This window comes from Homo sapiens, chromosome 5, assembly GCF_000001405.40.
Source record: "Homo sapiens chromosome 5, GRCh38.p14 Primary Assembly".
In the NCBI taxonomy this organism is placed as follows: Eukaryota; Metazoa; Chordata; class Mammalia; order Primates; family Hominidae; genus Homo; species Homo sapiens.
In genome coordinates this window covers 99,555,059-99,578,331 of record NC_000005.10, presented here as the reverse complement: position 1 = coordinate 99,578,331, position 23,273 = coordinate 99,555,059, and the positions used below count along the sequence as shown (strand labels likewise).

General features: G+C 36.8%; 1 long non-coding RNA gene across 1 annotated transcript in view, besides 1 other annotated feature; it reads right to left on the bottom strand.

Annotated features, from left to right (window-relative positions):
- Positions 1 to 377: 377 nt before the first annotated feature.
- LINC02113 (long intergenic non-protein coding RNA 2113) overlaps positions 378 to 23,273 on the bottom strand; it is a 43,965-nt gene continuing 21,069 nt past the window's right edge. Inside the window, exon 4 of the long non-coding RNA NR_110562.1 lies at positions 378 to 609. This is a non-coding gene — a long non-coding RNA (long intergenic non-protein coding RNA 2113). The remainder of the gene's footprint in view (positions 610 to 23,273) is intronic.
- Positions 14,984 to 15,484: an enhancer, noted in NCBI's record as "NANOG-H3K4me1 hESC enhancer chr5:98898552-98899052 (GRCh37/hg19 assembly coordinates)". NCBI's record gives its function as "activates a minimal SCP1, AML or CMV promoter by ChIP-STARR-seq in naive H9 embryonic stem cells {active_cell/tissue: H9 hESC(naive)}" and the evidence as "EXISTENCE:reporter gene assay evidence [ECO:0000049][PMID:30033119]".

Here is a 23,273-nt window from a genome sequence, read left to right as displayed (position 1 = left end):
AGTAGTTCGTGACCAGCCTGGCCAACACAGTGAAACCCCGTCTCTACTAAAAATATAAAAAATAAGCTGGGCACAGTGGCAGGCGCCTGTATTCCCAGCTACTAGGGAGGCTGAGGCAGGAGAATCTCTCGAACCTAGGAGGCAGAGATTGCAGTGAGCCGAGATTGTGCCATTGCACTCCAGCCCAGGCAACAAGAGTGAAACTCCATCTCAAAAAAAAAAAAAGGTTAGCCTAAAAATTAAACTGATGTCCTCAGATCTTTAGAGTGAATCTGAAACTCTAAATCAAATAAAGAATTATTAACTTCTGTTTAAGATGTTGGAATAAGATCTCTGGGATCAGGTGAGTGCTAGGAAAAAAAGCTGAAGTTCTCCCAGCACATCATAGTTTATATATTTAATCTGTTAAACCAGATTATGTGGTTTTCAGTGGAAATGTTTTTCTTTGAGGCGAAGACTAACAAAGGTGGTCTAAGGGAACAACCGAGTGTACCGTCTATTGAAACCTCTCCTTTCTTAGGCCTTCTTGCTCGCATTTTTTTCTTCTTCCATGTAAAAGACTTCTGACATTCTTTGTTATTGGTTTTATGATCAGGTCTGTCTTGGTACCTGTAAACAAGAACCATACCAGAAATATATTGGTTGTGTTTACAAGAGTATTGTATTTACAAGAGTCTAGGCATATATACATATATATTTGCAAACTATATATTTGATAAAGAGGCTCAATTTATTCACAGTTATGTAGGCCTAACAGGAAACATGACTGGGGGGGTCCCAGGAAACTTACAATCATAGTGGAAGGTGAAAGGCAACCAGGCAAAACTTACCATGGTGGCAGGAGAGAGAGAAAGTAAAGGGGAAATTGCCACACACATTTAAACCATCAGATCTCATGAGAACTCACTCAGTACCATAAGAACAGACAGGAGGACATCTGACCCTATGATCAGTCACCTCCCACCAGGCCCCACCTCCAATTTGACATGAGATTTGGTTGTGGACACAAATCCAAACACTGTCATTCTGCCTCTGGTGCCTCCAAAACTTCATGTGCTTCTCACATTGCAAAATACTATTATCCCTTCTCAAAGAGTCCCCCTGTCTTAACTCACTTCAGCATTAACTTAAAAGTTCACAGTCCAAAGCCTCATGTGAGCGAGGTAAGTCCCTTCTGCCTGTGAGCCTAGACCATTAAAAAAAAAAATTAGTTACTTTCAAGATACAATGGGGTTACAGGCAAGCATTGTGTAAATTCTTTCATTTCCCATGGGAGAAATTGGCCAAAACAAAGGGGCTACTAGCTCCATGCAAGTCAAAACCACTCAGGACTGTCATTAAATCTTAAAGTTCCAAAGTAATCTCCTTTGACTCCATGTCTCACATCGAGGGCAAACTGATGCAAGATGTGGGCTCCCTAGGCCTTGTGCAGCTCCATCCCTGTGCCTCTGCAGTGTACACCCCCTGCAGCTGATTTCTCAGGCTGGCATTGAGTGCCTGCATCTTTTCCAGGTGAACAGTGCAAGCTACTGGTGGATCTAGCACTCTAGTGTCTGCAAGATAATTGCCCTCTTCTCACAGCTCCACTAGGCAGTGGGGATTCCACGTGGGGACTCCAACCCCAAATTTCCCCTCTACATTGCCCTTGTAGAGGTTCTCCATGAGGACTCTGCCCTAGCAGCAGACTTCTGCCTGGACATCCAGGCATTTTCATATATCCTCTGAAATCTAGGTGGAAGTTCCCATACCTCAACTTTCCATCCCTGTGCTCCTGCAGGCCCAACACCACGTGGAAGCTGACAAGGCTTGGGGTTTGAACCCTCTAAAGCAACAGCCAGAGCTGTACATTGCCTCCTTTTGGTCACGGCTGAAGTTGGAGTGGCTGGGACCCAGCGCACTATATCCCGAGGCTGCAAAGAGCAGCAGGACCCTCCTGGGTCTGGCCCATGAAATCATGTTTCCCTCCTAGGCCTCCAGGCCTGTGATGGGAGGGGCTACTGCAAAGGTCTCCGAGGCATTTTCCCCACTGTCTTGGTTATTAACATTAGTCTTCACTTTACTTATGTGTTCTGCTGCCAGCTTGAATTCTCCCTAGAAAATTGGTTTTTCTCTTCTACCACATAAGTGGGCTGCAAATTTTTCAAACTCTTATACTCTTCCTCCCTTTTAAATATGAGTTGCAATTTCAGACCTTCTCTTTCTTTATGCAAATGGGCATAGGCTTTTAGGAACAGCAAGGCTACATTTTCAACACTTTGCTGCTTAACAATTTCTTCCACCAGTTACACTAAGTTGCACTAAATCACACTAAATCATGTCTTCAAGTTCAAAAATCAACACATCTTTAGAGCACAGGCACAAAACTGCCAGTTTTTGTTTTTTTTTTTTTTGCTAAAGCATAGCAAGAGTGACCTTTGCTCCAGTTCCCAGTAAGTTCCTCATCTCCACCTCAGCCTGGACTTCTTTGTCCATATCACTATCAGTATTCAAGGTCACAACCATACTCTAGGAAGTTCCAATATTTCCCACATCTTCCTATCTTCTTCTGAGCCCTCACGACTGTTCCAACCTCTGCCTGTTACCCAGTTCCAAAGTTGCTTCCACATTTTCAGGTATCTGTATAGCAATATCCCACTCCTGGTGCCAATATTCTGTATTAGTTATTTCTCACAATGCTATAAAGAAGTACCTGAGACTGGGTAATTTATGAAGAAATTTAATTTACTCAGACTTAACAGTAAGCATTACTGGGAATTTACTCAGACTTAACAGTAAGCATTACTGGGAAGCCTCAGGAAACTTACAATCATGACAGAAGGTGAAGAGAAAGCAGGCATATCTTACAATATGCACGAGAGAGAGAGAGAGAGAGAGAGAGGGAGAGCACACAAAGGGGAAGGTGCCATACACTTTTAAACCATCAGATCTCATGAGAACTCACTCACTATCATGAGAACTCACTCACTATCATGAGAACTCACTCACTATCATGAGAACAGCAATGGGAAATCTACCCCCTTAATCCAGTCATCTCCTACCAGGCCCTTCTTCCAATTAGACATGAGATTTGGGCGGTGACACAAATCCAAACATATCAGTACATGACTACAAGGAATATAGTAGTAAATCAGTCTGTTACCGTATCAGAATAACTTTAAAACAAATGGTTACTTGTTAGAATTTTTGTTTAAACTAATGATATAATGTTTATTGACTAACAATTTATGACATAGAGAAGCATTCAATAAATCATTTTTCTTATTCATTTATTTCATTTTTTCATTTTCTGTTTCATTGTTAACGTTTTGATCAGGAATGTGTCATCTATGCTTTTATCTAACTGAAGGATCTATAGTACATTCCCATAATATCCCAGCCATTATTTATGGGCTCTCATTATATTTTTCACACTTAAATTGTTCCTACAGATTACAGGTGACAGCTTCTTCACAAACAATACAATTCATAACTACTTGAGACCAATGGTAACACTGATTTGCCATTTGTTAGTGGAATCCAAAACCTCTAATAATCCATCTATAGTCAGAGCTTTATAAGTAAGATCCTTTTGCCTTGCCCATAAAGTTTTATTTTGTAGGTATAGGGTAATGCCATAATTATTCATTTTTGAAACATTCTCCAAGTGACTCTGATACACACTCAAGCTTTTGATTAAAAAAAACTAAAATGAGCCTGCTCTCTCTAGTCTGAATAGTAACGTCATGTAGAAAAAATATTTATAGTAAATAAAAGTAAACAGAAAGCAACTATGATTCATGAACTAATAATAAGCTACTATTGGCAAAAGTGTACATTTGAGATCTTGAATACTTTTGAATTCTTAGGCTCATAGTTCAGTAATAGTTAAAGAGAAAACATGCATTACTAGTACATGAGGTACTTGGTTTTCTCTTTCTGCGTTAGTTTACTTAGGATAATGGTTTCCAGATGCATCTATGTTGCTGCAAAGGATAATGATTTCATTCTTCTGTATGACTGTGTAGTACTTTATGATATATATATACCACATTTTCTTTATCCAATACACCATATGTAAGTTACATGGATGTGCTTTGGTCAAGAGTATGCTGAGGTAACATCCTGCATGACTCAGTGGGATTGGAGCACAGGTGCATAATTCCACTTGTTATATAACCTGCTTTTATAAGTTCATACCTGGCTCAGAGCCTATTATTTGTAAAAGGTATAACTGCCCTGCTGATGCTGTCCGGGCTTGGCTCAGGGCACTCCCAGAGAAAGAGAGAGAGTCAGAGATGTCCATCTTGCAGAGAGACAGTGGAAAGCCAGGACGTGGCTCAGCTTGTGCCCTGAGAGGGAGAGAGTGAAGCTGCTGACCCTGTAAGGGAGAGCTGGTTGTGCAGTTGTGTGTTTGAGCAGCTGAAACCCCAGAGCCAGAGCAGGTGGCCGGGACAGAGATGGAAAATGTGAAAGAGCTGTTGATGAGAGAACTAGTGTGAGTGAGCTGCTGATGAGAGAGCTGCTGAATAAAACCATACTTCATCTGCCTATGCCCCAAGTGTTCTTTCAGTTATCTGCCACTCATCCACCACTCCCTTCGGACCCCATCATTGGCTGGAACCTGGCACTAGGCATGACATCATTGATGGGCAACTGGGTTGATTGCATGTCTTCGTTATAGTGGATACTGCTGCAGTGAACATATGGGTACCTGTTCTTTTTAGTAGAATGACTTATTTTCCTTTGGGTATATACACAGTAATGGCGTTGTTGGGTAGAATGGTAATTCATGTCAGCTCTTTGAGGAATCTCCAAACTTCTCTCCACAGTGCCTGAGCTAATTTACATCAGTCCTGTTCTTTGCAACCTCATCCTTGGGTTTTAGGAGTTTTGCTATTTTTTTGGCTTTTTAACAAAATCCATTCTGACAGGTTTGAGATGGCATCTCCTTGTGTTTTCTATTTTCATCTTTCTGATGATTAGGGAAGATGAATTTTTTTTTTCAGATGTTTGTTGGCTGCTGGTATATCTTCTGTTTGTTCACGTCTTTGGCCCTCTTTTAATGAGGTCATTTGGTTTTTGCTTGTTGGATTGCTTAAATTATTTATATCTTCTGAATATGAGGCCTTTTAAAGATGCATTGTTTGTGAATATTTTCTCCCATTCTGTGGGTTGTCTGTTTACTTTCTCAATAGTTTTTCTTGCTGTGCACAGAAGCTCTTTAGTTTAATTAGGTCCCACATTTCAATTTTTGTTTTTGTGGCAATTGTTTTTGAGGACTTAGCCATAAATTCCTTGTCAAGGCCAATATGGAGAAGGGTATTTTTTAGGTTTTCTTCTCGAATTTTTATAGATCAAGGTCTTACAGTTGTTTTAAATCTATCTTGAGTTAATTTTTGTACATGGTGAAGATGTAGGGGTCCAGTTTCATTCTTCTGCATATGAATAGCCAGTTTTCCCAGCACCATTTATTGAACAGGGACTTTTTTCCCATTGCTTATTTTTGTCAACTTTGTCAAAGATCAGATGGTTGTAGTTGTGTGGCTTTATTTATGAGTTTTGTATTCCTTTGGCCTATGTGTCTGCTTTTCTACCAGTACCATGCTATTCTGGTTATTGTAGCCTTGTAGTATAGTTTGAAGTTGGGTAATATGATACCTCCAGCTTACTTCTTTTTGTTTAAGATTGCTTTGGCTATTCAGGCTCCTTTATGGTTCCACATGAATTTTAGAATAGTTTTTTCTAATCCTGTGAAAAATGACATTGGTAATTTATTAGGAATAGTGTTGAATCTGTAAATTGCTTTGGGCAGTATGGCCATTTTAATGATACTGATTTTTCCAACTGATGAGCCTGGGATATATTTCCATTTATTTGTGTCATCTCTGATTTATTTTAGAAATGTTTTGTAGTTCTCCTTGTAGATATCTTTCGTCTCCTTTGCTAGCTATATTTCTAGGTGACTTATTTTTTTCTGTGACTATTTTAAGTTGGATTGCATTCTTGATTTGGCTCTTAGCTTTAATGTTGTTGGTGTGTAGAAATACGACTGATTTTTCATATCGATTTTGTATCCTGAAACTTTACTGAACTTTTTATTAGCTATAAGCCTTTTGGCAGAGTCTGTAGGGTTTTTTAGATATAGAATCATATCATCAGCAAAGAAAGATAGTATGACTTTCTCTTTTCCTAGATAGATTCCTTTTATTTCTTCCTTTTGCTTCATTGCTTTGGCTATAACTTTCAGTAGTACATTGAATAGGCATGGTGAGGGTGGGCATCCTTGTCTTGTTCTAGCGCTCAAGGAGAATGCTTCTAGAGTTTGCCTGTTCAGTATAATGCAGGCTGTTGTTTTGTCATAGATGGCTCTTATTATTTTGAGGTATGTTCCTTCAGTGCCTAATCTGCTGAGGGTTTTTATCATGAGGTGATGTTAGATTTTATCAAAAGCTTTTTCTGCATTTATTGCGATGATCACATCGTTTTTGTTCTTGATTCTGTTTATATGGTGGGACTCATTTATTTATTTGTGTATGGTGAACCAACCTTGCATCGCAGGAATAAAGCTTACTTGTTTGTGGTGAATTATCTTTTTGATATGCTGCTGGATTCAGTTAGCTAGTATTTTGTTGAGGATTTTTCTATGTTCACTGAGATGCTGACCTGAAGTTTTCTTTTTTTCATTGTGTGTCTGCCAGTTTTTGCTATGAGGATTGATGCTGGCCTTGTAAAACGTGTTAGGGAAGAGTCTTTCCTCCTTGAGTTTTAGGAATAGTTTCAGCAAGATTGGTTAGATTTATATAATTCTTCCTTTTCCTGAATCATCAGGGAGTACTTATTTTCTTTTATGACACTTATGTCAGCTTGTTCAATGGCCATATAGTTGTTGGTACTCCACAGACAAAATATCTGTACCTATGGACACATTCTACCTCAGAATATGCCTAGCTTTGGCTTGGAATATCAGAGTCTTTCTGTGTTGTAGGGATACTGGAAAATAAAAGAACCAGTGTGTACCAAAGACTTATAAAAGGTCAGGCACTTGGTTTCATTGAATGGTTTTTGATTCTGCAAATGCTCTACTGGTTTATTGAAGACAACTGATATGCTGAAGCTTTAAGAACTGATATATTTGCCAAGAACTCTGTCAGAGAGAATACTTGATATATGTATCTCCTACATCATTTATTTACATATTTCCATGCCCATGTTGTCAGCCTGAAAATGTATTTCTTCTCTTTAGAACATCATATTATAATGTTTATTTTAAAATGCCTGTTATGGATATTTCTTTAAAGTGTTAAGTAAAATGGCAGCTATTGGCTATGGTATCAAATAAAAATTTTCTTCTTGGATTTTTTCAGCTGTATTGAAAGCAATTTATGCCTATTGTTTATGAAAGGACGGTTATCTCAGAAGATTATCTTTGATCCAATGATAGTTGATGCCAGCTCCAACAGGTCCCATCAGATCAGACCACTTGCTTTCAGTCTGGCATCCTTCCATTTACTCCAGGTGCAGATTCTAGAATCACTTTTCTAAAACACACATTGATCATGCTGCCACTATGTTCAGAAGCTTCTTGTGGCTTGTCATGAGTTTAAAATTAATTCCTTACCAACACAGTGAACAATCCCTTTAATTTGAATCCAACCTACCTCTCTATCCTCATTTCTTTCCTACAATCCCACTATGTTGGGCAAACACGTTGCCTTTTCAAAAACATTTTGAAACCTTATCTGTCAGGGTGTAGTGCAAAAAACAGAAAACATCCTAGATATTTAAAAAAGGAAGTAATTCAGTTCTAGGAATTAAGTGATTGCAGATTGATGGCTAAAAACCAGATTCTAACTGGGGGTCCACAAATAATTCCCACAAGAATAATGAACTGATGAACTACACCTGTATATTCAAAACCACCATGAGAATTAATGTCAGAATCAAAAAGCCATTCCCAGAGTTGACACCTGACTTTCATGATACTGAAAAATGGATAAGGGAACAGAGCTGCAGAAAAATGACCACCAAAATTGGGCTGAAAAGCAGTCTCTGTTTCATGGTCTTCTTTCAATGATCTTTTTCAACATCACTTTAGAGAAAATCAGCTTCCTCCTTTGGAGAGAAAAACGTCTAACGAAGACAGTAGCTGTCTTTCAGGAAACCCTTGTATTTTATCTAGAGTTTCTTTCTGATATGTCAGCATTTAGTTAAGTGAGAAATATTATTCAAGTAGTTCCCAAATAATTTCACCATTTAGAAGGAAAGTAAGGGTTCACTGATAGAAAAAATAATTGAAAAGGCAAAGGAAGATAATTTAAGAGTGAAAGATTGAGAAATAATTCAGATATCTGAGAATCTGAGTTTATCTTAATGGATTTTGTTTCTATTTCCTAATCATTAAGCATTATAAGAAAGGTTATTTGTGGCTTGGCCACCTTATACCTGTTATCTGTTCATCAGCCCCTTCACATCCAATATCCTTGTAGGTATAGGTATTCTTACCCCAAGAAAATTAATCTCAGTGAGGTAAGAGATTTGCTCACATTTAAATACAAAATATTAGCATTCAAATCTAATTCTAACTGCTTCCAAAGCTCTATATTCTGTAGAGTAACACCCATTTTTATGATTAAAATTTATGCCAGTAGAAAACATTAAAAACATATTATGGCTTTGTATTATTTCAAACTATGGAAAGAAGGAAAATGGAAATGAACATGTTTCTGTTAAACTCAATAAAAGGTAATTTTAAATACATATTATTATGAAAGAATAATTTACATTATTTAAAGGGCGTGGAGTGGATTATTTGGCAAGGATTCAAGTTATTCACAGGGGAAAAGCAATACTATTTCACGTTATGGACAATTATTGGTACAATGTGTACTTTTTCCGCTTAATAATTGCATGTTCCCTTTTGTCACATCCGCACAATACAGAATAATTAAAGCACATTAGGTGCATTGTGAAAGGGACATTTGGTTTTAATTAACATTAGACAATAAGAAAGGCAATTTGTTTTATATTACTATTCATTATTTGATGCACTCATATACTCACACACATACACGGTGTCTACACACACAAAAAGGCAACTGTGAAACACAGCAAAGCCTCTCAATCTGGACTTACACTAGGTCTACCTAAAAATATACCAAATGTTTTACGCAGAAAAATTTCTTTCTTCCTTTAGACATCTTAGACCATTGGTCCCCAACCATTTTGACATCAGGGACCAGTTTCCTGAAAGGTGGAAGAAAATTTTTTCATGGAGGTGGGAGTTGGGGTGGGGGCAATGGTTTCGGGATGAAACCATTGTACTTCAGATCACTCAGATCATCAGGCATTAGATTCTCATAATGAGTGCGCAGCCTAGATCCCTCACATGCGCAGTTCACAATAAGGTTTTCACTCCTATGAGAATCTAATGCAGCTGCTGATCTGACAGGAAGCAGAGCTCAAACCATAATGTTTGCTCTCCCTCTTGCTGTGTGGCCCAGTTCCTAACAGGCCACAGACCTGTATCATTCCATGGGCCCCTTCCTTAGACAACTGTGTGGCATTCTAATGTAAAAAAAAAAAAAATTAAACAGGAGTCAGGTTTATAGTGATTATTTCAAAAGTAAGTTGGATAATCAAAGTCTCGTGGTGCTTATACGGCAGCATCAGAAAGCTAGAACTCACGAAAGACTAAAACCACACTGGATCTTCATGTTAAGATAGACTATAAAGAGGCAAGACTGACTTGACACCTGTGGCTTGTCTAATATACTTGGGTGAAAAGAAGTTCATCTTATAATTAAATAAAGTGTCAAACTAATTTTATATACAGTATAAGTGAATTTAGATTGCCTACATGACAAACTAATGTCCTACTCCTCTGCCAGGAAGATATTGACCATGTATATCAGTTAGCTTTTGCTTTGTGACAAACCACTCCAAAATTAAGTGGTTTAAAACTATAACCATTTCTTTAACTCATGCTTCTGTGATTTGGCAGTTGGGCTGGCCTTATGTGGACAAATGTGTTTGCCCTCTGTGGTCTTTCAATCCCCAGCAGGCCAGCTAAAACTTTTTTAAGTGGCAACTGCACAAAATTCAAAGTAAAGAGTGGAGGTCAGTGACTCCAGATTTTGGGCTCTAGGATCAGAATTGACACACTGTCATTTATATTGCATTCTATTGCCAGCCAATCACATAGTCAACTCGAATTAAAGAGAAGGAAAAAGAAACCCCACCACTTGAGGCAAAAAACAAAAAATAAATAAAAGCTACATTAAATGGGCATAAACATAAGAAGGAACGAAGAACTGTGGCCAGTTTTTCAATCTACTAGATCATGTTGGAAACCAATTTTTGTTGGTTAGATAGTTCTCTTGATATTGAAGTGTCCTTCAACCTAAAGTAGCCTTCCGAATAATGATTAGGGCCTGAAAAGAACAAAAAGACTGATCCCCCATCCAGTAAAAAAGAATTCTTCCTGCCTGGTGGCCTTCAAATGGGGGTATTGACTTTTTTCTTGCCTTTAGACTTAACTAAAACCTTGGCTCTTCTTGGGTCCCAAGTCTGGGGCCTTATGACTAGAAAAACGTGATCAGCTCTCTTGGTTTACAGATCTTCACACTCAGGTGGAAATAAAACAACAGTTTTCTCGATCTTCAGTTTCCAACTCACACTGCAGACCTTGAAACTTGCTTGCCTCCATAATAATGTGAGCCAATGCCTTAAATTGATATACATGTGTATAACACACACATGTATATGTATACACACACAAATATACACACAAACACATATGCACATTCAGTTAGGTTTGTTTCCCTGGAGAATCCCAACTTAATACAAGCATATTTTAAATATTTCTTGAGAGTAATAATTTTGTTTTCTGCTCATCTTCATTATGATGCCCTAAAAGGCAAGGATAACATTATTTCTTTGCAGTATTTGTAAAATCTGCTGTCCCAGATAGTTAAATAATTATTGGGACTAAATTAATCTGTGTCTTCTCTTTCTGCATGCGTGTGTGTGTGTGTGTGTGTCTATGTGTGTGAATCTGTGTATCTGCAAGCACACACATACTGTATATAAATATGTGTTCATATATGACATATGCATATATACATCTATGATTCCTACACATATATATGTATGCATGTGTGTATGTTTTTATATAAATTGATGAATAAGTAAATAGAAAAGTAGATAGATATTTATACTTAAATTATCCATTTGATTGTCAGATATAACCAAAATATTCTTAAAATTTTAATATATTCATAGACTCAGATAAGGCATTCTTCCTCTTTTCACATTTCAATATATTTCTCATTAACAGTAATCATTTATATGCATGTACACAGTGGAAAGAATATTAATCTATTGAAAAACATGCAAAATGTTATTCATGGTGAAATTTTAAAAATTATTTTTGACCAGAATGACAATAATATTTACATTCTGAAATAATTAACAAAATAATGAAACGTGGAATATAGTAAGACTCAAACATAAAAGCACAAGTTTTTAAAGTGTTTTTTAAAATTTACTGCTCAGCACATAAATGAAAATAAGAATCAAAGTTCTATTCTTTTAGAATTTGCCAAAAAAGTTTAATTCAATCACTATATAATAACAGAATGTAGATATTATAATAGTTATACTTTTATTATACTTTAATGCAATATGAATAAAAAATTCTACATTCCATTAGGATTAATATCCTTTAATATCAGAGATATTAATTCATTTTATTTGGGATTGAACAGGAGCTCTATTTTTATCTGGATGAATTGCAGTTACATATATCTGACCACGCTTAAACTATAACCTGTGTCTCATCAGAAGTACCAGTAGAGTAGTTGTTAGAACTGAAGGTTTGTGTCAAATGATCCTATGGTGAAATCCCTGTTCTACCATGTAATTTTTTTTTAATAAGATACTTAAGCTCTCTAGTGCTCAATTTTTTCATTCATGGAGTATGTGTAAGAATCACACGTATTTTTCTGATTATGACTAAATGAAAAATGCACATATTATAAAACTGGTGAAGAGTCAGCATTTAGCTCAAAATAGTGATGTAAACATCAGATGAACTCTACTAGATTTCCTACAGTATGTGTGTGTGCACATGCTCAGGTGTGTATGAGAGACAGAAAGAAAGTGAGAGAGACAGAAGTAAAAAAAGTAAAATTTTCTTAGCCTTACTTTATTTGTTAAAAATGGGAATTAATAATAACTATTTCATGGCATTATACAAATACTTTAAGAAGACATTATGTATATATATGCATATAGGATGGTTTCCAGTAAATGGACATCAAACAAAGGTTAGCTTCCTTCTTACAAAAAAACATATTGAGGCCCAGTTATAGTGGTAGACTACATTAGCAGGGTGTGTAATGAGGGCAAGGCCATGCGACCATGAAGAGTCTATGACATGCACTATTAAATAGCCATTGCACCACAAAGATAATGAGAGTGTTAACATGGCATACTTGGCCACAGCTACACCTACTGATGATAACACAGTAGATATACATTATCCCTGCTATATTACACTTATTAAGGGCATGCAGTTAGATCCTCTGACTCTAAAACTTATTTTTCCTCACTACACTACACTACACTTTCTTTTGTTCACACACAGTAAACCCTTCATCAATGAAAAACTTTTTGTTTGAAACAGGCTTATAAACTGTTAAAAGAAAAACTTTAGCTGAATTAAATTTAAAGGAGTTTAATTGAGTAACGGAAGATTCACAAATCGGGCAGACTCCTGAGCCACAGTAGGCCCTGAGACTCCAGAAGGAGGCAGCTTTAGGCTAAACTTGATTTAACAAAACTATATACTTTATTTTAAATGAAATAATTTAACCTCTCTAACCTAAGTAAGAGAATTCTCTCTTACTGGATGGGGGATCAGCCTTTTTGTTCTGTTCAGTTGATTATGAACACAGACCTCCATACTGTTGATCTTTATTCACCTATCAGCAGATGGCAAAATAAGTAATCAGAAAGTTTTAAAAATAAACACATTTTAAAAGTCATTGAGAATTTATAAATTGATATAGTTATTACATTATTGACAAAGTCAAATAAGTCAAAACTACTATCATCTAAGAATCCTAGCCATTCTAATAGCAAATAATTTGTGGGATTTAATGTTCACTTGCACACATTCAAGTTTTTAAAATTCCATTTGAATAACAAGCCCTGTTAAGCACTTAACTATATAGTATATATGAAAGTCTCCATCCTTTATGTTTCAAAATATTAGTTTTGTTTTCATTTTCTTTAATGTGCATTAGAATACACAGGACAAATAATGGTATAAAAACATACATTTCTCTGACACTCAAATAACCGTTGATGTAGATGAATTTTAAGGTAAAAACAAAAGGAAATTATGATTAATTTTATTATTTTCTTCTGAACATGAGTTTTGTCTTTTTTCAATCATATTCATAATTTTAGTACTTTATTTTCCAACAGATTGATTTTTAAATTAATTATTTTTAGAGAGCTGTGTAAATAGCGATAACTTCTTAAGTTAAGATGGCTAACAATGAGGCCCAGATTAAGTGTAAGAACATAGTTAACCAGACATGGCCTGATTCTTAGATTTCCTAATTTCAAGAGTAATCACATCAAAATGTTCACTTTATTAAATGCAAAAGATGATATATAGTTGATTTGTTGAAATCACAACATTTACACTTTTACTTTAATTTCTAGTTCCTAGTTCAAAATAATGCATAACAAACATCAGTTAGGTTTTAGTTGCCAGGACAGAAGAGGAGTAACAGTTACTATTTATCAGGTCAGGCATTATGATGCTTTACATTTGTTACCTTGTTTGATCCTTTTAAAAATCCAAAAAGTCTTGCAAAATAAATGAGCCTTGCACCTTCAGATGAAGAACAAAACCTTAGGAAACATAAGTCACTGTTGAATAGGATATATCTATAACTAGAAGTGCTAGCATGTGTGATTCAAAAATTAGTGTCTTGATGTGATGCAGCCCTCTTAAGATGTACTTTTAAACTTTCTATTTGAGTTACTTGAAATCATATTTTCAAAATATGGTTATAATAGTCACAACTAAAATTCGAAGGACATTAAGAAACTCAATACATTTATAGGTACTTATGACAGCTTCACGAAAGGCAAGATAATCTGTTTCATTTATTTTGGGTACAGTATAGAAATAAGAAATAAAACATGCTTTTTATTTTGAATTGTCTCTCCATTTTCTTTTGTACATAAAATGGAAAATCCTGTTTCCCAAGTTGAAGAAGATAGATATGAGGTTAGATGAACAAAGCCAGAGGCAGAGACAAGCAATTTTATTTAGATTTTCTAGAACATCTGTAAGAAATGTTAGACATGTCCAAGATGACTGATGTTTCAGGTAAAGATAAAATGGATAAAGGATAGTATTAAAAGAAATCTTGAGGCAGGAGCCAAGAGGGCCAAACAAGAACAGCTCCTGTCTACAACTCCCAGCATGAGCAACGCAGAAGACGGGTGATTTCTGCATTTCCAACTGAGGTACCCGGGTCATCTCACTGGGGAGTGCCAGACAGCAGGTGCAGAACAGTGGGTGCAGCGCACTGTGCACGAGCCAAAGCAGGGTGAGGCATCGCCTCACCTAGGAAGTGCAAGGGGTCAGGGAATTCCCTTTCCTAGTCAAAGAAAGGGGTGACAGACAGCACCTGGAAAATCGGGTCACTCCCACCCTAATACTGCACTTTTCCAATGGGCTTAAAAAACAGCACACCAGGAGATTATAACCCGCACCTGGCTCAGAGGGTCCTATGCCCACGGAGTCTCCCTCATTGCTAGCACAGCAGTCTGAGATCAAACTGCAAGGCAGCAGTGAGGCTGGGGGAGGGGCACCCGCCATTGCCCAGTTAGTTGTTTGATTAGGTAAACGAAGCGGCAGGGAAGCTCAAACTGGGTGGAGCCCACCACAGCTCAAGGAGGCCTGCCTGCCTCCGTAGGCTCCACCTCTGAGGGCAGGGCACAGACAAACAAAAAGACAACAGTAACCTCTTGCAGACTTAAATATCCCTCTCTGACAGCTTTGAAAAGAGTAGTGGTTCTCTCAGCACGCAGCTGGAGATCTGAGAACGGGCAGACTGCCTCCTCAAGTGCGTCCCTGACCCCCGAGTAGCCTAACTGGGAGGCATCCGCCAGTAGGGGCGGACTGACACCTCACACGGCCAGGTACTCCTCTGAGACAAAACTTCCAGAGGAACCATCAGGCAGCAGCACTTGCGGTTCACCAATATCCGCTGTTCTGCAGCCACTGCTGCTGAAACCCAGGCAAACAGGGTCTGGAGTGGACATCTAGCAAACTCCAACAGACCTGCAGCTGAGGGTCCTGTCTGTTAGAAGGAAAACTAACAAACAGAAAGGACATCCGCACCAAAACCCATCTGTACATCACCATCATGAAAGACAAAAGGTAGATAAAACCACAAAGATGGGAAAAAAACAGAGCAGAAAAACTGGAAACTAAAAATCAGAGTGCCGCTCCTCCTCCAAAGGAATGCAGTTCGTCACCAGCAGTGGAACAAAGCTGGATGGAGAATGACTTTGACGAGTTGAGAGAAGAAGGCTTCAGACGATCAAACTACTCTGAGCTACAGGAGGAAATTCGAACCAATGGCAAAGAAGTTAAAAGCTTTGAAAAAAAATTAGACAAATGGATAACTAGAATAATCAATGCAGAGAAGTCCTTAAAGGAACTGATGGAGCTGAAAACCAAGGCACGAGAGCTACGTGATGAATCCAGAAGACTCAGTAGCCAATGCGATCAACTGGAAGAAAGGGTATCAGTGATGGAAGATAAATTGAATCAAATGAAGCAAGAAGAGAAGTTTAGAGAAAAAAGAATAAAAAGAAACGAACAAAGCCTCCAAGAAATACAGGACTATGTGAAAAGACCAAATCTATGTCTGATTGGTGTACCTGAAAGTGACGGGGAGAATGGAACCAAGTTGGAAAACACTCTGCAGAATATTATCCAGGAGAACTTCCCCAATCTAGCAAGGCAGGCCAACGTTCAGATTCAGGAAATACAGAGAACGCCACAAAGATACTCCTCGAGAAGAGCAACTCCAAGACACATAATTGTCACATTCACCAAAGTTGAAATGAAGGAAAAAATGTTCAGGGCAGCCAGAGAGAAAGGTCGGGTTACTCACAAAGGGAAGCCCATCAGACTAACAGCTGATCTCTTGGCAGAAACTCTACAAGCCAGAAGAGAGTGGGGACCAATATTCAACATTCTTAAAGAAAAGAATTTTCAACCCAGAATTTCATATCCAGCCAAACTAAGCTTCATAAGTGAAGGAGAAATAAAATACTTTACAGACAAGCAAAGGCTGAGAGATTTTGTCACCACCAGGCCTGCCCTAAAAGAGCTCCTGAAGGAAGCACTAAACATGGAAAGGAACAACCGGTACCAGCCACTGCAAAAACATGCCAAATTGTAAAGACTGTCAAGGCTAGGAAGAAACTGCATCAACTAAGGAACAGAATAACCAGCTAACATCATAATGACAGGATCAAATTCACACATAACAATATTAATTTTAAATGTAAATGGGCTAAATGCTCCAAATAAAAGACACAGACTGGCAAATTGGATAAAGAGTCAAGACCCTTCAGTGTGCTGTATTCAGGAAACCCATCTCACATGCAGAGACACACATAGGCTCAAAATAAAAGGATGGAGGAAGATCTACCAAGAAAATGGAAAGCAAAAAAAGGCAGGGGTTGCAATCCTAGTCTCTGATAAAACAGACTTTAAACCAACAAAGATCAAAAGAGACAAAGAAGGCCATTACATAATGGTAAAGGGATCAATTCAACAAGAAGAGCTAACTATCCTAAATATATATGCACCCAATACAGTAGTACCCAGATTCATAAAGCAAGTCCTGAGTGACCTACAAAGAGACTTAGACTCCCACACATTAATGATGGGAGACTTTTAACACCCCACTGTCAACATTAGATGGATCAACGAGACAGAAAGTCAACAAGGATACCCAGGAATTGAACTCAGCTCTGCACCAAGCGGACCTAATAGACATCTACAGAACTCTCCACCCCAAATCAAAAGAATATACATTCTTTTCAGCACCACACCACACTTACTCCAAAATTGACCACATAGTTGGAAGTAAAGCACTCCTCAGCAAATGTAAAAGAACAGAAATTTTAATAAACTGTCTCTCAGACCACAGTGCAATCAAACTAGAACTCAGGATTAAGAATCTCACTCAAAACTGCTCAACTACATGGAAACTGAATAAGCTGCTCCTGAATGACTACTGGGTAAATAATGAAATGAAGGCAGAAATAAAGATGTTCCTTGAAACCAATGAGAACAAAGACACAACATACCAGAATCTCTGGGACACATTCAAAGCAGTGTGTAGAGGGCAATTTATAGCACTAAATGCCCACAAGAGAAAGCAGGAAAGATCTAAAATTGATACCCTAACATCATAATTAAAAGAACTAGAAAAGCAAGAGCAAACACATTCAAAAGCTAGCAGAAGGCAAGAAATAACTAAGATCAGAGCAGAACTGAAGGAAATAGAGACACAAAAAACCCTTCAAAAAATTAATGAATCCAGGAGCTGGTTTTTTGAAAAGATCAATAAAATTGACAGACTGCTAGCAAGACTAATAAAGAAGAAAAGAGAGAAGAATCAAATAGACGCAATAAAAAATGATAAAGGGGATATGACCACCGATCCCACAGAAATACAAACTACCATCAGAGAATAGTATAAATACCTCTACGCAAATAAACTAGAAAATCTAGAAGAAATGGATAAATTCCTCGACACATACACCCTCCCAAGACTAAACCAGGAAGAAGTTGAATCTCTGAATAGACCAATAATCGGCTCTGAAATTGAGGCAATAATCAATAGCTTACCAACCAAAAAAAGCCCAGGACCAGATGGATTCACAGCCGAATTCTACCAGAGGTACAAGGAGGAACTGGTACCATTCCTTCTGAAACTATTCCAATCAACAGAAAAAGAGGGAATCCTCCCTAACTCATTTTAGGAGGCCAGCATCATCCTGATACCAAAGCCTGGCAGAGACACAACCAAAAAAGAGAATTTTAGACCAATATCCTTGATGAACATCAATGCAAAAATCCTCAATAACATACTGGCACACCGAATCCAGCAGCACATCAAAAAGCTTATCCACCATGATCAAGTGGGCTTCATCCCTGGGATGCAAGGCTGGTTCAACATGCACAAGTCAATAAATGTAATCCAGCATATAAACAGAACCAAAGACAAAAACCACATGATTATCTCAATAGATGCAGAAAAGGCCTTTGACAAAATTCAACAACCCTTCATGCTAAAAACTCTCAATACATTAGGTATTGATGGGACGTATCTCAAAATAATAAGAGCTATGTATGACAAACCCACAGCCAATATCATACTGAATGGGCAAAAACTGGAAGCATTCCCTTTGAAAATGGGCACAAGACAGGGATGCCCTCTCTCACCACTCCTATTCAACATAGTGTTGGAAGTTCTGGCCAGGGCAATCAGGCAGGGGAAGGAAATAAAGGGTATTCAGTTAGGAAAAGAGGAAGTCAAATTGTCCCTGTTTGCAGATGACATGATTGTATATCTAGAAAACCCCATCATCTCAGCCCAAAATCTCCTCAAGCTGATAAGCAACTTCAGCAAAGTCTCAGGATACAAAATCAGTGTACAAAAATCACAAGTATTCTTAGACACCAATAACAGACAAACAGAGAGCCAAATCATGAGTGAACTCTCATTCACAATTGCTTCAAAGAGAAGAAAATACCTAGGAATCCAACTTACAAGGGATGTGAAGGACCTCTTCAAGGAGAACTACAAACCACTGCTCAGTGAAATAAAAGAGGATACAAAGAAATGGAAGAACATTCCATGCTCATGGGTAGGAGGAATCGATATCATGAAAATGGCCATACTGCCCAAGGTAATTTACAGATTCAATGCCATCCCCATCAAGCTACCAATGACTTTCTTCACGGAATTGGAAAAAACTACTTTAAAGTTCATATGGAACCAAAAAAGAGCCTGCATCGCCAAGTCAATCCTAAGCCAAAAGAACAAAGCCGGAGGCATCACGCTACCTGACTTCAAACTATACTACAAGGCTACAGTAACCAAAACAGCATGGTACTGATACCAAAACAGAGACATAGACCGATGGAACAGAACAGAGCCCTCAGAAGTAATGCCGCATATCTACAAGCATCTGATATTTGACAAACCTGACAAACACAAGCAATGGGGAAAGGATTCCCTATTTAATAAATGGTGCTGGGAAAACTGGCTAGCCATATGTAGAAAGCTGAAACTGGATCCCTTCCTTACACCTTATACAAAAATCAATTCAAGATGGATTAAAGACTTCAATGTTAGACCTAAAACCATAAAAACCCTAGAAGAAAACTTAGGCATTACCATTCAGGACATAGGCATGGGCAAGGACTTCATGTCTAAAACACCAAAAGCAATGGCAACAAAAGCCAAAATTGACAAATGGGATCTAATTAAACTCAAGAGCTTCTGCACAGCAAAAGAAACTACCATCAGAGTGAACAGGCAAACTACAGAATGGGAGAAGATTTTTGCAACCTACTCATCTGACAAAGGGCTAATATCCAGAATCTACAAGGAACTCAAACAAATTTACAAGAAAAAAACAAACAACCCCATCAAAAAGTAGGTGAAGGATATGAACAGACACTTCTCAAAAGAAGACATTTATGCAGCCAAAAGACTCATGAAAAAATGCTCATCATCACTGGCTATCAGAGAAATGCAAATCAAAACCACAATGAGATACCATCTCACACCACTTAGAATGGCAATCATTCAAAAGTCAGGAAACAACAGGTGCTGGAGAGGATGTGGAGAAATACAAACACTTTTACACTGTTGGTGGGACCGTAAACTAGTTCAACCATTGTGGAAGTCAGTGTGGTGCTTCCTCAGGGATCTAGAACTAGCAATACCATTTGACCCAGCAATCCCATTACTGGGTATATACCCAAAGGATTATAAATCATGCTGCTATAAAGACACATGCACACGTATGTTTATTGCAGCACTGTTCACAATAGCAAAGGCTTGGAACCAACCTACATGTCCAACAACGATAGACTGGATTAAGAAAATGTGGCACATATATACCATGGAATACTATGTAGCCATAAAAAAGGATGAGTTCACGTCCTTTGTAGGGACATGGATGAAGCTGGAAACCATCATTCTGACCAAATTATCGCAAGGACAAAAAATGAAACACTGCATGTTCTCACTCATAGGTGGGAATTGAACAATGAGAACACATGGACACAGGAAGGGGAACATCACACACCGGGGCCTGTTGTGGGGTGGGGGGAGGGGGGAGGGATAGCATTAGGAGATATACCTAATGCTAAATGACGAGTTAATGGGTGCAGCACACCAACATGGCACATGTATACATATGTAACAAACCTGCATGTTGTGCACATGTACCCTAAAACTTAAAGTAAAATAATAATAAAATGAAAAAAAAGAAAAAAAAGATATCTTTATGAATGTAAATGTTTATCGTCCATTTTTAACTAATAAGCAAGCTTACTAAAAACTGCACTTCACATTTAATGTTTTAGGGAATTAACTTCATAAATAAATAAGAACTAGAAAAATGATCTGTGTGGACTTTTGGATTGTTTTGTTTTGCTTTAGATGAAATTCTTCTCCATTACAGGACAATATAGGGGCTTAAAAATGAATAACTCCTATTAAATATTATGTCACTCTCAGAAATATCTAAGACGATGCATTATGAAAGTGCATAATGCAGATGGCAATAAGATTTCTTCTCAGTGGAAAATATCTGTACCATCTTTATTTTCACAAGCATTATATTTGTAAACATCGTCAAATTAACAGCTGATGGAATCAATAGTAAGGTATTATATTTACTATTAAAACACATACTTTACTCAGAAATGTTGGTTTCTTATTTTCTCTGAAATTTTTTTCTATAGGTATAGCTTCTTCTTGTCTGTGGTGAGCTTCCTTTTTCTCAAGTCTCTGAAAGGATGTGTGCAAATAGACCTTAACTCGTGTAACATATTTTTGGCTCACTGTAGCATTACTTTTCTATGTAGAGTATTATTTGAAAATAATTGATTACTGCTGAATAAAAATAATCTAATATCTAAGCATCATTTGGCCTATATGTCACTTAGTTTGTATATTGAGAAAAATATTAAATAATTATGACATTTATTATTATTATTTTTTGAAATTCAATACATTTTAATTTTACCTTATATTTGTAAATGAATATGCATCTTTAAGAATATCTTTGAATGATAATAGTTGTTGACTATTTTATTTTTGCTTACTTGCATGCAAGTGGCAATAACTGAACAAAATCTTCAGTAATCAAAGTGACAGTCTCTTTTTTAATCCTTGTGATCAAATTCAATCACAAGATATTGTGAATTTTTTTCTGATGCTTCCAAAGTATTAATTATTAAATGAATGAATAATGAACTGTGATTACAGGGATGTCAATTTGTGAGATGAAGGGTGAACAATAGTAAAATATTTAAAGAGAGAAAAGTCAGAGAGTTCATATCTCCATTTGATATCATTTAGTGTTATATACCTTCCAATATAAATGTTGACTTATTCTGTCAAACAGGTTCACAACCCTTGAACCATTGGGTAGCCTTCTACTATAATTTTCTCTATGGTGTCATTAATTTCAATATTATGATAATATAGGTTTTCAGAAAAGTCTTCAATTTTAATTATGACTAAGTCATGGGGATGTGAGGGACTATGGAATTTGATGCATCAGTGAACACCGAACATAAAATCTATTTTGTGGAGTTACCATCATGAAGGTTCTTTTAAAAAAGTTTATAAAACAATGTCTACATGTATCTGTTAAAAAAAGAATGGTTTCTGTCAAACAAATTCCATAAAACATTGACCCTTTTGAAAAAATTTTACAGTCCTTAATTTTACAGTATCTTCAATTTACCTTACCTGAACTGGACCTGGAACAATGAACATTATTTAAGGAGTTTCCCCAACAATTTTTTATTCATGTAAGAGCTGAATTAATATCACTGAATGCCTTTATATCTTCTGGAACAAAATATTTTGAATTAAAGAGCAGTTACTATAGTCACCATAAATATTGAATACAAGAAAAGTTTCTAAGGAAAGATTTTCTTCTGGCCTGTCTCTCAAAATACTAGCTTTATATACTCTTGCTTTCTTTGAAATTTGAGTTTCTTAATTCTATGACAGGTACTTATCTGCAAATACAATATTCACTTATTTCTTTCTTCTTACTAATAATATCCATTTTTTTTGGACTGACATTGTGTCTAGATAAGTTTCCTGATCTCTTAACAATTCTTGCAGCTGGAGATGGCCCATCATGCATTATTGACAATGTAATGTTAGCAGAAATTATTGGTTAAAGCTCAAGACATCATTTTGAAGGAGGGAAAAAAAAGCTGGCTTTTCTTTTTGCTCCTTCTAGTTAAGGATATTTGAGTAGGAAGATAAAAGCCTGTATCATGAAGCTATCATACCAACACTGGATGACTAATTAATTTGGTAAGCCAATAAATCCAATTGAGTTAAGATATGTTTTTCTGTTTTGTGCAAATAAACATAATCCTAACAGATAAAAAGAAAGATAGACAAATGCAGGAAGAGCAAGTAAATAGCAGAAAAGAAAAACTTAATTGACTGTCTTGTCTTAACCAGGAAAAATGTTATAGTATACATTGAATCTAATAGAATGAGAAATTCAAAGATCTATTTTGCAATATTCAAAAGAAACACACTTCTAAATTATCTCTGCTTGATTCAGCCAGGAGAGTGTTACTAAGGCACAGAAATGTTTTAAATTTATTTTTATATTTTGTGATATTATAATATTTTTATATTCTTGAGAATATTATTTATAATATTTAATACTAGCACTCAAAAGCAGCACAGACAATATGTTAGAAAATACTTAAAATTACTATATGGAAATTTTATTTATTGAGATAATTCAGCATATATAATTAATGTCAAAAAATAGAAGTTAGTGACTTTGTTTATTTAACAGAAAAGAATCAACAAAGCACCAGTAACCATCATAAAATTAAATTGTGCAAAATACTACTTATCAATGGAGAAGATATTCCAGTGGCAGTAGGAAATGAA